General features: G+C 59.8%; 3 annotated features.

The window, feature by feature from the left end:
* Positions 1-993: an enhancer, noted in NCBI's record as "OCT4-H3K4me1 hESC enhancer chr10:134871141-134872133 (GRCh37/hg19 assembly coordinates)". NCBI's record gives its function as "activates a minimal SCP1, AML or CMV promoter by ChIP-STARR-seq in naive H9 embryonic stem cells {active_cell/tissue: H9 hESC(naive)}" and the evidence as "EXISTENCE:reporter gene assay evidence [ECO:0000049][PMID:30033119]".
* Positions 6,124-6,626: an enhancer, noted in NCBI's record as "H3K27ac-H3K4me1 hESC enhancer chr10:134877264-134877766 (GRCh37/hg19 assembly coordinates)". NCBI's record gives its function as "activates a minimal SCP1, AML or CMV promoter by ChIP-STARR-seq in primed H9 embryonic stem cells {active_cell/tissue: H9 hESC(primed)}" and the evidence as "EXISTENCE:reporter gene assay evidence [ECO:0000049][PMID:30033119]".
* Positions 13,995-14,676: an enhancer, noted in NCBI's record as "H3K4me1 hESC enhancer chr10:134885135-134885816 (GRCh37/hg19 assembly coordinates)". NCBI's record gives its function as "activates a minimal SCP1, AML or CMV promoter by ChIP-STARR-seq in primed H9 embryonic stem cells {active_cell/tissue: H9 hESC(primed)}" and the evidence as "EXISTENCE:reporter gene assay evidence [ECO:0000049][PMID:30033119]".

Here is a 14,886-nt window from a genome sequence, read left to right on the forward strand (position 1 = left end):
GTTCTCAGAACCTCATGCCCCTAGATAAGAAGCCAGGCTCTGGTGCCTGTGGCCCCAGGGCAGGTGAGAGTATGTGCAGGTGAAGGACCGGGCAGGTGAGGGGCCCCGCAGGTGAGGGACCGGGCAGGTGAGGGTATGTGCAGGTAAGGGACCTGGCAGGTGAGGGGCCCCGCAGGTGAGGGTATGTGCAGGTGAGGGACTGGGCAGGTGAGGGTATGTGCAGGTGAGGGACCGGGCAGGTGAGGATATGTGCAGGTGAGGGACCGGGCAGGTGAGGGTATGTGCAGGTGAGGGACCGGGCAGGTGAGGGTATGTGCAGGTGAGTGTATGTGCAGGTGAGGGACCGGGCAGGTGAGAGTATGTGCAGGTGAGGGGCCCCGCAGGTGAGGGTATGTGCAGGTGAGGGACCGGGCAGGTGAGGGTATGTGCAGGTGAGGGACCGGGCAGGTGAGGGTATGTGCAGGTGAGGGACCAGGCAGGTGAGGGTATGTGCAGGTGAGGGACCGGGCAGGTGAGAGTATGTGCAGGTGAGGGACCGGGCAGGTGAGGGTATGTGCAGGTGAGGGACCGGGCAGGTGAGGGGCCCCGCAGGTGAGGGTATGTGCAGGTGAGGGACTGGGCAGGTGAGGGCCCTGCAGGTGAGAGTATGTGCAGGTGAGGGACCGGGCAGGTGAGGGTATGTGCAGGTGAGGGACTGGGCAGGTGAGGGCCCTGCAGGTGAGAGTATGTGCAGGTGAGGGACCAGGCAGGTGAGGGGCCTGCAGGTGCTCCCTTGCCTCCTCTGGAGTCTCCTCTGCCGTTTGTGGTGGTGCCTGTGGGTTGGTGGTTTTCCTTGGGGGGGCTCTTCATGCCCTCGGGTGTGGAAGTTCCCGTCCTCACTTCCTCCCTCCCCTCCGTTCCTTTGCTTGCCTGGGTGGTGGCCCCTGGGTCAGCGCTGCAGCAGCCTCGCCCTCTCCTTTCTGGGAATTTCCTGGGATTTCCTCCCAGCCCCTCCACAGGACGTTTCTCACTCCCACAGTTTAATTTTTTATTTCAGAGAGCTCCTTCTTTCTCTGACTTCTCTTTCCTGCTCACATCTTGGTTTTGGTTTGTGGTTCTAACATCATCCAACCCTCGTGCTCTTATGAAGGGTTTGGCTTCTGTGGGTTTTGTTTGCTTGGGGAAGGAGCTTCCTTTTGCCCCCTAAGCTCCTGTGTCTTCCATGCACCTTTTCTGTGTTTTGCCATCAGAGGCTGGACACTGCTAAAGCCGGCACTCCCGGGGTGCCCCTCCCGGCCTCCTCAGGGCGTGGGGCCTGCAGCCTTGACTGACACTGTCACCCCATCACCAGCCTTTTGGGGGGTGGGAGGTGGAGGACTTTGATGTGTGTGGTCAGCCCTCCTCCCTTGCATATCATGGCTCTGTTAATATCATCGATTAAATTGCTGATTGAACTCAAAATGTCATCCAGCCTCACCCACTGCCTCTTCACCAGCCCTTTACACAGAGGGGCCACTCCTGCTCCTGTCACTTTGTGTCGTCACCGTGGGATGTCCCAAGTCTTGTCTGGAGTCAGCAGCACCCGTTACCTTTATTTCCATTTCTTTTTCCTTTTCTTGAGTCAGGGTCTTGCTCTGTGGCCCAGGCTGGAGTGTAGTGTCGCAATCTCAGCTCACTGCAGCCTCGACCTCCCACGCTCAAGTGATCCACCTGCCTCAGCCTCCTGAGTATAATTTTTTATGTTTTGTAGAGCTGGGGACTTGCTATGCTGCCCAGGCTGGTCTCGAGCTCCTGGACTCAAGTGTCCACCCACCTTGGCCTCCCAAACTGCTGGGGTTACAGGTGTGAGCCACCACGCCCGGCCTCCATTTCCATGTCTTTTCTTTTTATTTCTTCCCAAATGCTTAGTGGAATTTAAAGTGGGATTTACCTTTCCCTAAGATATAGAGCTCTCTCAGCCCCAGGTGAACATAGTGATTTTAAATTACCTGGGGAAAGTGGAGGGAGCTGGGCCTTCTGTCCAGAGGGGCTGGACTCCCAGATTGTAGCCAGGGCTCCGCGCTTCCACATGTGTCCTTACTGTGTTGAGCACCTCCAGGTGCCAAGGGGGCAGGGCGGGGGGACTCCACCCGAATTTGGCAGCTGCCCACCCCCCACTCAGCCTGGGTCTCAGGGCCCTCCCTGAGGGACACGGGTCTGGGGGCATCCAGTCCACCCTGAGGGACTTCTGGTGGCTGCTGCCCACACACACAGCCTCTGCCCAGATCTTTGCTCCTCATCCTGAAGGAACAATCCGGCTCTGTGTGTGTGGCCGGGGCCGGGGACCTGCTCGATTTTATGTGCAGGGAAACAGAGGTCTTCCAAAGTCACCTGCCCGCCGTGCCAGCTCACTTCCAGAGAAACGAACACACCACATTCACTTTCCGTCTTTCACGCTACACAGTGTAGTAAAGACACCCCCTAATGTACACGAGCTGGGGCTTCAAGGTCGTTCCTCCGCCCCAGGCTCCTGGTCTCCGTCTATGTGGGCAGGTGGGCGGCCAGCCTGGGTGGCAGGAGGACCCCTCCCCAGCCTGACAGCCTGCGGTGCCCACCAAGCAGGAAATTAGGATTGGGAGCCAGGAGACACCCGGCAGTAACTTCCGGCAGGTTCACACCCGCCCCGCCCCAGTCGGGCCCAGTGCAGGGAGACTTGCACGGCCTCTTCGGAGACTCCCCATGCAACACCTTTGCACAGACAGCAGGTGGGCTCGGTAGCGGATGGTTCTGGTGACTTCCAGACGAAAGAAAGCTCCACAGCTGGCACCAAACTGGCCGTTCCAGAGGCCCAGCAAGGCCACGGGTCAGGAGGGTGGGCAAGCAGGACCCCCGACGCCACCGCCTCAGGGAAACCCTCCCCATGAGCCCCAGGGATGGCTGCAGCTCCCAGTCTGCCCACCACTGGCCTCCCCGAGGGCCGAGGGCCGAGGGCTGGGCAGGGAGCCTCGCTGGGGAGCCCACAGGCGCCGAGAGAGTGCAGCTGATCCGGCTTACCCTGCAGCCCAGACCAGCCTGCTGCAGGCTGGGGAGGGCCTGCCCCTTCACTGAGGGTGGGACCACCTGTGGCCGGCTGGCCGGGTCTGCAACACAGGCCAAGGTCCTCGACCTCTGGGCACACTGACAGGGTGGTCCATGGCCGATCGAGTCACACCGCCTGCCTCTTGCCAGGCACGCCATGTGTGGCCCTGTCCCTGGGACTCCCAGCACAAAGCTGAGCCTGCCGCCCCCTCTCAGCTGCCCCTAATGACCCCCAGTTGCCAGCCAGGTCAATCTCAAGCCCCCCAGCCAGCACCCCAGGCCTCCACGGTTGGGTCAGGCCTTTCCCCTCCTCAAGTCTCAGGACACCAGCCTCCCCTGTCAGTCCTGTGCCCTCCCGGCGGGGGCCACCCATAGGCACCCACGCTTCCTTCCTCTGTGCCCTCCTAAGCCAGGTGAGGGCCCTGCAGGTGCTCCAGGCTCCACACTCGTCTCCAGGCTCAGGCCCCTTGACCAGCCGCCCTGCCCGGCGTGCAGTGAGTGCACAGGTGATGTTCCGTGTTGGGGCAGCTGCGTGCTCCGTGCACAGGGGAAGACAAAGGCTCTCAGAAACAAAGCCCACGTCAGAGTCCAGTCTCACAGCTGAACCCCATTAAGAGCTCAATCATCTCTAAAGGTTAAATATGCTGCTGCTTAAAAAATATTCTTATTTAGCTGTTTAGATTTAGGGCACCAACAAAAGTTCTGTCCAAGAATGTTCTGTGGCTCGAGGTGGGCCACGCTCCCCTTCATGCTGAATCCTGAATCCGAGGCCTCCACCGTGACCCTCGCCTCCACCCGGGTGCCGGCTGCAGAGACGGGGTTTCCTGCTGAAAGTCGAATGGCCCGCCACCTGGCCTCACCCCCTCCTCACAGACAGCAAGGTGGCCCCACTGGCCAGAACGGCCTATGGGTGGCTTGGCAGGGCCACTGAGCCTCTCTCTGCCTCACGCTGTTTCTCTTCCAGCTTCCAGGCACCCATCCTCATCCAGGAGCCCATTTGGAGGGGTGGGCCAGACCCTGATTTGGGGAGGGTTTTCCCACAGCCGTGGCTGCTGGGCTGGACTCAGCAGCAGCAGAGCTGCACCTTCGGCGTGCAGGTGGCTGGGGCTTCACACTTCCCGTTTTTAGCCACCTGGCCCACAGGCAGAAGCGTCAGACCTGGGCCTGCCCAGGGTCACCCTGGAGTGTCACATGAATGGGTCCCGTGTCGCAGGCCCTCCTGGGGGTGGAACCCCTCCCCGTGGCGGCCCCTTTTCCATTGCTGTGTGGCACTCCCCATGTGCGTACGCCCCAAAGCATTCATTCCAACACTGAGCATTCAGGTCACTTCCAAATGTTGGCTTTTAGGAAAAATACTGATAAGAACATTCATGTCCCTTTCCTTAGCAGACATACGTACTCATTTTTCTTGGGTGATTTCCCAGGATTAGAATTCGGGTCATGGGATATACATAGCTTAGCACCAGTAGACACCACCAAACGCTGTTTTCCAAAATGGGTGTCCCAGCACACACCGCATGAAAATAGCCAGTTCCGGGGGCTCCGCACCCGCGTAGGGGGCGCGTCGGTCCTTTCCATTTTAGCTGCGTGGGGGAGGGTGTTGGCGGCACCATTGTGCTTTCATTCCACGTTTCCTCAGTGATTCAACACGTTAAGTAACGTGTCACGTGCCTGCTGGCCACCACCGTCCGCTCCTGGGAAGAACCTGTTGACTCAGCTGCCGTTTTACCTGGATCATCCGTCATCTTTCTCTCGAGATAGAGTTCTCCAGGCTTTCTGGACCCGGACACACATGGCAACACGCCCTGCAGACAACCTTTCCCAAAGCCACGGCTTACTTTGTAACTCATCATGGTGCCTTTTAATAATCAAAAATTCCTAATTTTAATGAAGTCCAATATTCCTGATGTTTCTTTACAAACAGTTCTTTTTATGCCTTCTTTTTAAAAATCTTTGTCTTTGCGAGTCCTCAAAGATGAGTCGTCTCTCGGTTTCCCCAGAAGCTTCTCTCTTGTCTTTCCCATTAGATCTGCAAGCGCCTCAGGCCAGTGCCAGGGTGGTGTGGAGTGGGGCTCAGCCCTTTTTCCATGGGACTCGGCGTGGGTCCAGGGCCCTGGGTTGCGGGCCCCTCCCTCCCCAATCCCACTGTGTGTGCGGGTCAATTCCCGGCCGTTTCCTGTCCATTTCGTCAGCAGCACGTATCTCAGTTCCTGCTGCGTTAGAGGAAGTCTCGGTGTTTGCAAGTAGAAGGCGCCTCTCATCCTCTTTCTAAGGTCGTCTTGGAAGCAAGCGGGGTCCCACCTCCAACCTGGGGTGTTCGCCCTCGAGAAGGCGGCGTTCCGCTGGGCGAACACACACACACACTCGAGAAGGCAGCATTCCGCTGGGTGAACACACACACCCACTCGAGAAGGTGACGTTCCGCTGGGCGAACACATACGCCCACTGGAGAAGGTGGCGCTCCGCGGGGCGAACACACACACCCACTCGAGAAGGCGACATTCCGCTGGGCAAACACACACACCCACTCGAGAAGGCGGCGTTCCGCTGGGCGAACACACACACACACTCGAGAAGGTGGCACTCCAGCTGGGCGAACACACACACACACTTGAGAAGGCAGCACTCCAGCTGGGCGAACAAACACACACACTCGAGAAGGCGGCACTCCAGCTGGGCAAACACACACACACTGGAGAAGGTGGCACTCCAGCTGGGCGAACACACACACCCACTCGAGAAGGCGACATTCCGCTGGGCAAACACACACATCCACTCGAGAAGGCGACGTTCCGCTGGGCGAACACACACACCCACTCGAGAAGGCGGCACTCCAGCTGGGCGAACACACACACCCACTCGAGAAGGCGACGTTCCGCTGGGCAAACACACACATCCACTCGAGAAGGCGACATTCCGCTGGGCGAACACACACACCCACTCGAGAAGGCGGCGTTCTGCTGGGCGAACACACACACACACTCGAGAAGGCGGCACTCCAGCTGGGCGAACACACACACCCACTCGAGAAGGCAGCGTTCTGCTGGGCGAACACACACACACACTCGAGAAGGTGGCACTCCAGCTGGGCGAACACACACATCCACTCGAGAAGGCGGCGTTCTGCTGGGCGAACACACACACACACTCGAGAAGGCGGCGTTCTGCTGGGCGAACACACACACACACTCGAGAAGGTGGCACACCAGCTGGGCGAACACACACACCCACTCGAGAAGGCGACGTTCCGCTGGGCAAACACACACATCCACTCGAGAAGGCGACATTCCGCTGGGCGAACACACACACCCACTCGAGAAGGCGGCGTTCTGCTGGGCGAACACACACACACACTCGAGAAGGCGGCACTCCAGCTGGGCGAACACACACACCCACTCGAGAAGGCAGCGTTCTGCTGGGCGAACACACACACACACTCGAGAAGGTGGCACTCCAGCTGGGCGAACACACACACCCACTCGAGAAGGCGGCGTTCTGCTGGGTGAACACACACACACACTCGAGAAGGCGGCGTTCTGCTGGGCGAACACACACACACACTCGAGAAGGCGGCACACCAGCTGGGCGAACACACACACCCACTCGAGAAGGCGACGTTCCGCTGGGCGAACACACACACCCACTCGAGAAGGCGGCACTCCAGCTGGGCGAACACACACACCCACTCGAGAAGGCGACGTTCCGCTGGGCAAACACACACATCCACTCGAGAAGGCGACGTTCCGCTGGGCGAACACACACACCCACTCGAGAAGGCGGCGTTCTGCTGGGCGAACACACACACACACTCGAGAAGGCGGCACTCCAGCTGGGCGAACACACACACCCACTCGAGAAGGCGGCGTTCTGCTGGGCGAACACACACACACACTCGAGAAGGTGGCACTCCAGCTGGGCGAACACACACACCCACTCGAGAAGGCGGCGTTCTGCTGGGCGAACACGCACACACACTCGAGAAGGCGGCGTTCTGCTGGACGAACACACACACACACTCGAGAAGGTGGCACACCAGCTGGGCGAACACACACACCCACTTGAGAAGGCGACGTTCCGCTGGGTGAACACACACACCCACTCAAGAAGGCGATGTTCCACTGGGCGAACACACACACACTGGAGAAGGTGGCACTCCAGCTGGGCGAACACACACACACACTCGAGAAGGCGGCGTTCTGCTGGGTGAACACACACACCCACTCTAGAAGGTGGCGTTCCGCTGGGTGAACACACACATCCACTCGAGAAGGCGGCGTTCTGCTGGGTGAACACACACACCCACTCTAGAAGGTGGCGTTCCGCTGGGTGAACACACACATGCGCTCGAGAAGGTGGCGTTCCGCTGGGTGAACACACACACGCACTTGAGAAGGTGGCATTCCGCTGTGTGCAGGGTCCAGCGTGTGTCAAGTAGGTCAAGATGGTAGGTCAAGCTGCTTAGTGTCTAGGTTCTTAGTGATTTTCTTTCTGTTGTTACATTGTGTACCCAGCCCCACTTGCCTTTTCAACCTGTCTCCTGCCAATCTGTACCCTGACTCCCAGGCTTCAGGGACCCTCCCCTCCTCGGGCTGGCCACTCCTCTGCTCTTCCCCCTCCCAGCTGCAGCTCTGTATGTTTCCCCTGTCCACAGGGAGAGGGTCCTTGTAAAAGGGTGGGTGGGCAGGTGGGTAGATGGGAAATGGAGACATATGGGTGGGTGGGGGATGGATAGATGGGTGGGTGGGTGGGTGGGTGGATGTATGGATGGATGGATGATGGATGGATGGAGGGTGGATGAATGGATGGATGGATGGATGGATGGATGGTGGATGGATGGTGGATGGATGGTGGATGGGTGGAGGGGTAGGTGGGGGATGGATGGAGGATGGATGGATGAGTGGGTGGATGGGTGGATGGATGGATGGTGGATGGATGGTGGATGGGTGGGTGGATTGTGGATGGGTGGATGGATTGATGATGGATGGATAGATGGAGGGTGGATGGGTGGATGGGTGGATGGATGAGTTGGTGGATGGGTGGATGGATGGTGAATGGGTGGAGGGGTAGGTGGGGGATGGATGGAGGATGGATGGATGAGTGAGTGGATGGGTGGGTGGATGGGTGGATGGAGGGATGGATAGATGGTGGATGGATGGAGGGTGGACGGGTGGATGGATGAGAGGGTGGATGGATGGATGGATGGATGGGTGGATGGATGGATGGATGGATGGATGAGTGGGTGGATGAGTGGGTGGATGGGTGGGTGGATGGATGGATGGATGGATGAGTGGGTGGATGAGTGGGTGGATGGGTGGGTGGATGGATGGATGGATGGATGAGTGGGTGGATGAGTGGGTGGATGGGGGAGGGTGGATGGGTGGATAGATGGTGGATGGATGGAGGGTGGATGGGTGGATGGATGAGTGGGTGGATGGGTGGATGGTGGATGGGTGGAGGGTGGATGGGTGGATGAATGAGTGGGTGGATGGGTGGAGGGTGGAGGGGAGGAGGGGTGGAGGGGTAGGTGGGGAATGGATGGATGGATGGATGTTGGATGAATGAGTGGGTGGATGGGTGGATGGATGGATGGTGGATGGGGGAGGGTGGATGGGTGGATGGATGGGTGGGTGGATGGGGGAGGATGGATGGATGGATGGTTGGTGGATGGATGGATGGATGTTGGATGAATGAGTGGGTGGATGGGTGGATGGTGGATGGTGGATGGTGGATGGGTGGATGGATGGGTGGATGGGTGGATGGTGGATGGGGGAGGGTGGATGGGTGGATGGTTGGTGGATGGATGGATGGATGTTGGATGAATGAGTGGGTGGATGGGTGGATGGGTGGATGGTGGATGGTGGATGGTGGATGGGTGGATGGATGGGTGGATGGGTGGATGGTGGATGGGGGAGGGTGGATGGGTGGATGGTTGGTGGATGGATGGATGGATGTTGGATGAATGAGTGGGTGGATGGGTGGATGGGTGGATGGTGGATGGTGGATGGGTGGAGGGTGGATGGGTGGAGAGGTGGAGGGGTGGAGGGGTGGAGGGGTAGGTGGGGGATGGATGGATGAGTGGGTGGATGGGTGGATGGGTGGATGGTGGATGGTGGATGGGTGGAGGGTGGATGGGTGGAGAGGTGGAGGGGTGGAGGGGTGGAGGGGTAGGTGGGGGATGGATGGATGAGTGGGTGGATGGGTGGGTGCAGGGATAGGTGGGTGGTGGTTGGCAGGCATGGACAAGAAGAGGAAGAACGAACAAACAGATGGCTGGAGAATGGACAGGGCAACAGAGGGAAAGGAACACAGGATGGTTTCACCTTCAAAAAAAGAGGAAGGCTGGTTCCAAGGAGCAGCGGTCCAGCCTTAAGCATTTATTTTTCCCCGGAATTCATTATGCCTGTGAATACTGACACACGGGGCGGACATTTACGGATCCACATCATAAAGAAGTTGTTCTATAGAAATTCCAAAACTGGATGAAATATTAGGAACAAAATCATGTTTTAAGCTCCCCGCAAAGAAACATTAGCTGATAAGTAACAAAGAAGCAGAGGAGCTGGAGGAGGGTTTTCCGTTCCCTCCTCCTGGATCAGAGCTCAGGCCGGACTCTAGAGGGGGGGACTCCGCGGCAGCAGCTGGGCTCAGAAGACCGCACTGTGCAGGCGCAGACGCTGGGTTCAGACGCCAGAGCAGCTCGCTTCATGGAAACCACTGAGAAAGGGAGGAGAAAACTGTGAGAACAAATGTTTTCTCAGTAACTTTCTCTTAAATGAGGTTAAGTATCATAAATATACAAATTAGGTTAACAAAACAAATGTGTTTGGGACTTCCTCAACTACTTTGTGAAAATTATTCTGGTTTTATGTAAAGAAATGAAAGGTTTAGTGCTGTTTCTAAAAATGGCCATTACTGAATAAGGATGCAAAAGGCAGTGACAGAACAGTCCCGAAATGCCTGCGGTTCCCAGAGCCTGCAGGAGCCGGTCAGCGTGGGTGTGTGTGAAAGACAGACACACACAGACAGGCAGACGCATGGACACATGGGCACGCGGATACACAGCGGGAGGCTTTGCCCCACACTTCAGGGTGCTGTGGCCTGGTGCGGGCCAGGGGGTGGGGACTGGGCCGCTTCTCCCCGTCCTAGCTTGGGATGTGCTGCAGTGGGACCACCTGGGAGATGCTGGACCTTCCTCCTGGGACAGTGAAGAGCAGAGCTGTGAGCCCCTGCCTGCCTGCCCCACCCCCATCCCCAGCACTGTGCTGGCCACAGCAGCAGACACGTGTCATGTGTGCTAGAAAGCCTGCTCCCGGAGCCCCCTGCTCCCACCCCCAGCCGCCTTCACTCATCAAGTGCTGGCCATGACCCTGGGCCAGGCTCGCTCAGGGACAGATGGTTGGGTGGAGGGAGGCAGCGGCATCAAGCCATTGGGGCAGAGGCCAGGGGCACCCTGGTCTCCTGCACAGCCTGGCAGGTGGACACTGGACCTTCTTGGCCTTCACAAAATGGCTCCACTTGGCCCCACGACGCTGGCTGCACCTCACACCTTGGCTGGCTGTGGGTTTGCTCTGCAATGGGAGGGCTGTGCGGCTTCTTAGCCCATTGGCTGAAAGCTGGGAGAGGTTCCAGAATGTTCTGCACCAAGGGGCAGGGCACCTGTACCTGGGCAAGTATCCAGTCCAAGCATCCATGGTCACACAGACGAGAGGCCCCGCCCTCCCCTGGCCACAGCATGGCGCAGCAGAAGCCCTGAGAACTCGGCTGAGAGTGAGCCGGCGCTGGGGTGCACGAAGGGGTCTCTTTGCTCCGTGGGTTGTCAGCTCTCTGTGTCCTGGGAACAGCCACCCAGGGGTCTGCCCCACATCACCCGAAGGTGGCTGGCAAGTGCTGACCCTGTTCAGATCACGCTGGTGTGAGGTCCCCGTTGGCTGCCACCAGGACTGGCCCTGAGATGAGGGTTGGCCCCGCCATCTGCCCGGGCTCCCGGCACACCCGGTGCTCTGGGCAGCTCCAGTGCTCAGAGAAGCCTCCCCCTGGGTGTGTGGGGGCCAAATCCCGGCCTGTGGCCCCAACTGTGCAGCTGAGCCTGGGCCCTGAGTCCCAAATCTGCCATTTCCCTGAGTTCTCTGCAGCCCCTGGGGCTGTCATCACTTTATTCTTTTAATTAACTCTGCAATTACAGCCTCCTGTCTCTCATGCAGAAGCAGATTCGGGCTCTGTGGGGAGACAGGAGAGAGCTCCTCTCTGTGGATGCCGCCTCTCAAACAGCACCTGCGGCCGGCGTGGCTGGGTTTTAATTATTGCAAAACCCTTTGGTGGCTTTTCATCTGTTTCAGACCAAAACCAATAAACACATTCACTTATGTCTTGAGTGAGGCCGGCCCCAAGGGCTCCGTGTGGTCATGGCGCACAAGGACCTTTGGAGAAACCTCATCGTGCCCTTCGCTGGCCCAACCCCCGCGGATCGGCCGCCCCGGGCCTGGTTCCAGCTCCTGCCAGCTGCTGTGGGAGGCCTCAGACCCTGGGACCCACAGCTGGGAAGCTGGCGGGGAGGCCGAGGGGCCGTCAGCAGGTCTCAGGCAGGCCTCTGGGGTGCTCACACCAACCCTGTCCCATGAGTGACCTCAATGGAGCGAAGGAAGGGGTGGGAAGGCGGCCGACGTTTTTCTAGAAGCACTGGGAGATGTACTTGGCGTTCTGTTGTGTTTACAGAGGATGTCCATGTTTTCCTGGAGCAGTGTGAGGAACCTCGCCCGCCTCTGCCCAGGGCAGGCGTGGGAGGGCAGGGGGCCGTAGTGTGCAGAGCCAGGGGGCCCTGGGGTGCAGAGTCAAGGGGCCGTAGGGTGCAGAGTCAGGGGGCCGTAGGGTGCAGAGTCGGGGGCGTAGGGTGCAGAGTTAGGGGGCTGTAAGGTGCAGAGTCAGGGGGCCATAGGGTGCAGAGTCAGGGGGCATAGGGTGCAGAGTCAGGGGCCCTGGGGTGCAGAGTCGGGGGCGCAGGGTGCAGAGTCAGGGGGCATAGGGTGAAGAGTCAGGGGGCCCTGGGGTGCAGAGTCGGGGGCGCAGGGTGCAGAGTCAGGGGGCCATACTGCAGAGTCAGGGACCGTAGGGTGCAGAGACTGGGGGCCATAGGGTGCAGAGTCAGGGGGCCCGGGGGTGCAGAGTCAGGGGGCGTAGGGTGCAGAGTCAGGGGGCCCTGGGGTGCAGTCAGGGGGCATAGGGTGCAGAGTCAGGGGGCCACAGGGTGCAGAGTCAGGGGGCCCTGGGGTGCAGAGTCAGGGGGCCATGGGGTACAGAGTCGGGGGGACCTGGGTTGCAGAGTCGGGGGGCCCTGGGTTGCAGAGTCAGGGGGCAGAGGTGAAGCCACGCCCTGGGATGTTTGACCTCCCTGTGCCGAGGAGGTCTCCCCGCAGCCCCAGGCTCCTCTCCACCAGCAGCTCACCCTGCACTGGGGAATCTTTGAGAGCACAGCTTTTCTTCTTCTAGAGACAGGATCTCACCCTCTCACCCAGGCTGAGTGCAGTGGGGCGATCACAGCTCACTGCAGCCTCAACCTCCTGGGCTCAAGAGATCCTCCTACCTCAGCCTCCGGAGTAGCTGCTAATAGAGGTAGACACGACCACGCCTGGCGAATCTTTCCATCTTTTATTATGTAAACATGGCGTCTTGCTATGTTGCCCAGGCTGGCCTAGAACTCCTGGACTCAAGTGATCCTCCCACCTCTGCCTCCCACAGTGCCGGGATCACAGGTGTGAGGCCCTGCGCCCGACCAGAAGCTCTGTTCTGACCTCATTTCTCTCTCTATCTCTGCCCGCTGGCCTTTGAGGCTCGGAGGAGCTGGCCCTGAGGCCCTCACCACTCACTGACTCGCTGGCGTTCCTCGTCACTCTGCCCTGGGCCCTTCCCACGACTTCTCTCCTCTCCTCTTGGTTCCTATTCATCTTTCAAAGCCGCCTCCTCCAGGACACCCTGCCTGCTTGCTCCTCCCTTCCTTTGCCTCAGGCGAGTGCCTGTCCCTGGTGACTTGAGCCACAGCTATTTCTGTGCCTGTCTCTCCTCTGGGGCCGCCCACCCGGCTCACATCCTCCGTGGGACTTCGCCCATCCGCACAGGCCAGTCACCTAGTCACCTATTAGGAGGCCCAAGGAGCAATTTCAGAGATCAACTCCTCCATTGTTCTGCAATCTCGGATCTGAGTGAAGACACCCCAGCCTCTAAGGGGGGCGCAGTGGACCCAGGAAGGGGCACCTGCCCGGCAGATGCGAGGCCACGGGAACCACTCGCGGCTGAAATCCAGATGTGCTTCTCTGGGCAACGTCCATCACCACCAGGCACAGATGGCGCACGGTGCACACTGCCGAGGGGGCCGGACACCACAGTCACCAGACAGCCGGGGCCCAACCGCTGGGGGCCACACCCGGGGCAGATGGACGTACCGGCCCATCGAGGCCCTCATCAACGTCAGCTTTCCCGGAGCAAAGGTGCTGCTGGGATCTGTGGCAGCTTCCCCCAGGACCCAAGCCCCAAAGCCTGCGTGCAGAGGCCCTTCCGAGGTGAACTCACACCAAGAAGCCTCGCAGCCAGGGAGGAGAGAGCACAGGAGCTGGGGGGCTTCCAGCACAGAGCTGAACCCTGTCCCTCCTGCTCTCCCTCCCTCTCTCCCTCCCTCCCTTTCTCTCTGCCTCCCTCCCTTTCTCTCTGCCTCCCTCCCTTTCTCTCTCCCTCCCTCCTTTTCTCTCTTCCTCCCTCCCTCTCCCTCCCTCTCTCCCTCTCCCTCCCTCTCTCCCTCTCTCCCTCCTTCCCTCTCTCCCTTCTTCCCTCCCTCCCTCCCTCCCTTTCTCCCCTCCTCGGGCCTCCCCACTGTTCTGTTGCTCCCCCAGGGTCAGACTCAGTCGCCTGTGGCCCCCCAGCCTCACACACCCTGAGCCCTCAGTAGATGTCATGAACCAGTGACTTTAAAATGAACCAACTGACTCTCACCCCAGGGGCCAGGCACAGCGGATTCCTTAGCCTGGCTACTGCTATTGCTCAGGGTCACTGGCTGGCTGTGGCTGAGAGTGTCCAGCCACACACTCCTTCCCCAGGATGTGGCCTCCCAGCTGGGGGTCTAAGGGGGCTCTGGATCACTGGCAGAGGGAGGGCAGCCCTGGGGGCCTCGGGAAGCTGTGGGGTGGAGCACAGGGCAGGGCGATGCAGGCCTGGCCCCAGCCCTGGAGAAGGAGGGACTCCACAGCTGCTCTCTGGGCAGCAGATGCCCCTGCCAGACGTCACATGCCTCCGGGCACCTCAGGGTGGGAGAACGGCCGAGGGCGAGCCCTCATGGGCGTGGGTCTTCAGAAGTGGCTATTTGCAGAGACAGGCTCTTCCTGGGCTTCCCGTCTCCACCCGAGTGGCTGCCTGCTGGTGGCAACACCATCCAGGCAGGGACTCAGGTGAGGCTGGTGGCGCCAGGGGCCTGCAGATGAGGCCCTTCCAGGAGACTGGGGCAGCCGTGGGGAGAGTGAGGCCCAGACAGCACCATGGGCCTGAGAACGTCCTCCCAGGCCATAGCCTGGAAGCGGGATGCCGGAGATTCCTGCTGAGGAAGGGGCAGAAGCCTGGACTCCAGAGGGCCGCCCACAGGTGGGACATCTGCCCGGGGAAGGGCCTGCAGGTCCTGGTGACCAAGGACACCCGGGAGCCTCTTCACTGGAGGAAGAGTCGGCTCAGGGCGGAGCCTGGCCACACAAAAGCGGCGTATCCCCCAGGGAGCCCGAGGCTGTGACCGGGAGGCCTGCAGCTGCCACGGATGCTGACGGACCTGCACTCACCACAGGAGGTCCGGCTGGAGGGCGGGTCTGGGCAGGGGCCACC

This window comes from Homo sapiens, chromosome 10 (assembly GCF_000001405.40).
Source record: "Homo sapiens chromosome 10, GRCh38.p14 Primary Assembly".
In the NCBI taxonomy this organism is placed as follows: Eukaryota; Metazoa; Chordata; class Mammalia; order Primates; family Hominidae; genus Homo; species Homo sapiens.